The sequence below is a fragment of the Homo sapiens genome, chromosome 16, assembly GCF_000001405.40.
Source record: "Homo sapiens chromosome 16, GRCh38.p14 Primary Assembly".
In the NCBI taxonomy this organism is placed as follows: Eukaryota; Metazoa; Chordata; class Mammalia; order Primates; family Hominidae; genus Homo; species Homo sapiens.
In genome coordinates, this window is record NC_000016.10 from 16,782,084 (window position 1) to 16,784,300 (window position 2,217).

General features: G+C 42.9%; 1 annotated feature.

Annotated features, from left to right (window-relative positions):
• Positions 1,806-2,006: a silencer, noted in NCBI's record as "peak2509 fragment used in MPRA reporter construct". NCBI's record gives its function as "represses an SCP1 promoter by STARR-seq MPRAs in K562 erythroleukemia cells {active_cell/tissue: K562}" and the evidence as "EXISTENCE:reporter gene assay evidence [ECO:0000049][PMID:32103011]".

Below are 2,217 nucleotides of genomic sequence, written 5' to 3' on the forward strand. Positions count from 1 at the left end.
CTGTTTCATGCTTAATCCAATCTTTGATCTGGGTATTCTGTCACTTGTAACTGAAAGAATCTTCATGAAGACAGACTCGGAGTGTTAAGGAATCAATGTTAGTGTCCCTGAAAAACTCATACGTTGAAGCCCTAGCCCCCAGTGTGATGGTTTTTGGAGGTGGGGCTTTTCAGCAGTAATTAGGTTAAGATGATATCATGAGGGTAAGGCCCAAACAATGAGATTAGTGTCCTTATAGGAAGAGGAAGAGACCAGAGCTTTCTCTCTACACCACGTGAGGACACAGTGATAAGGCAGCTGTCTGTAAGACAGGAAGAGAGCCCTCACTAGGCTCACTTTGGCACCTTGATCTCAGATTGTCAGCCTCCATAACTGAGAAATCAGTGTCTAATGTTTAAGCCATACAGTTTATGGTATTTTGTTATGGCATCTTGAATTGACTAAGAGAGGATAAGTGCCTCGTGTAATGTCACACAACTAATAAGCAGCAGAGCTGGGATTTGAACTCAGGTGTTGCTGACTTCCAAGTCCATGAAGTCTCCACGGAAATATGAGCTCTGGTGGCAAAAGAACGGATGGAGCAGATGCCAACATTAGTTTCAGCCTGGAGAAGAAAACCTGGTGATATGGTTTGGCTGTGCCCCCACCCAAATCTCAACTTGAACTGTATCTCCCAGAATTCCTATGTGTTGTGGGAGGGACCCAGGGAAAGGTAATTGAATCATGGGGACCCATCTTTCCCTTGCTATTCTCATGATAGGGAATAAGTCTCACAAGATCTGATGGTTTTATCAGGGGTTTCTGCTTTTGCATCTTCCCCATTTTCTCTTGCCACCATCATATAAGAAGTACCTTTCACCTCCTGCCATGATTCTGAGGCCTTCCCAGCCAGGTGCCACTGTAAGTCCAGTTAAACCTTTTTTTCTTACCAGTCTTGGGTATGTCTTTATCAGCCGCATGAAAATGGACTAATACACCTGGGCTTGCAAGGGGTTTGGTAGTGGGCTCGGGGCAGCTAGGTTACCTGGAAAGGAAAGAGACGGCCTTTGAAATACAACCTAATTCACTTCACCACTTTACTTAGTTGAGTGTTGCTTGAACTTCTGTTGCTAAACTAACTAAAAATTGCTGTTTTTTAGTGCTTACCAGATGGGAAGCACTGTACTAATATCTTTGCAAACATCATCTCGTTCAGTCATCCAAATCACCCTAGGAAAGAGATACCATTATCTCTTTTTGAATGACTTTGCCAGAGTTACACAGACAGTCAGTGGCGGAGCTGGGATGAAACTGTTTAGGACTGAGTCGTGTTCCCCCAAAATTCATATGTTAAAACCCTAACCCCCAATGTAACTGTATTTGAAGAGATTACCTTCATAGACTTAATCAACGTTAAATGATGCCATTATGGTGGGGCCCTAATCCAGTAGGACTGGTGACTTTCCAAGAAGAGGAGGAGACACCCGAGTTCTCTCTCTTTCCTTGCACACACAAAGAAAAGGTCATACACTCAGCAAGAAGGCAGACATCCGCAAGGGAGGAAGAGAGATCACATTAGAAACTTAATTTTCCAGCACCTTGATCTTGCACTTCTTGCCTCTAGAACTGTGAAAAAATTAATTTCTGTTGTTTAAGCCACTCAAGTTGTGGAATTTTATTATGGCATTCCAAGTAGACTAACACAGAACCCAAGCCTACCTGGGTTCAAATCTCATCTTCTTAACCACCACATGGGATTGCTAACATCCACCTACCCATGCACAAAAATTTAACATATGAAAAGATCTTTACAGAGCGTGGCCTGGGGGTGGGGCTGCTTCTTCAAAAGGGCTAGAATTGGTCCTGGAGTCCTAAAGCTAGAAGGATAAGTGCAAAGTCATATCTACTTGGCAGAATGAATCCAAACCTTTCAGCAGGTGCAAACTAATGTTTTCAGCTCTGCCATCCTTTCTGTCGTATGGGCTAGAATATAAAACAGCTCAGCCTCATCAAGAGAGTACAATGAAACTCTTTGCTGGGAAAAGGATAGCTTTATTTCTGTTAAAGGGCCACATTGAGAGCCTCAGAAGCAACTCTCCTTGCAGGACAAAGGAAAAATATTAGAGTGATGAATTAGTTCCTTACAACCCAATGACAGACTGGTGGATAAATGCAGTGACAGACCCCAAATTTTATCTTTCTGCAAGTCTGCCCCAAATAAAAAGCCCTTATCCTTAT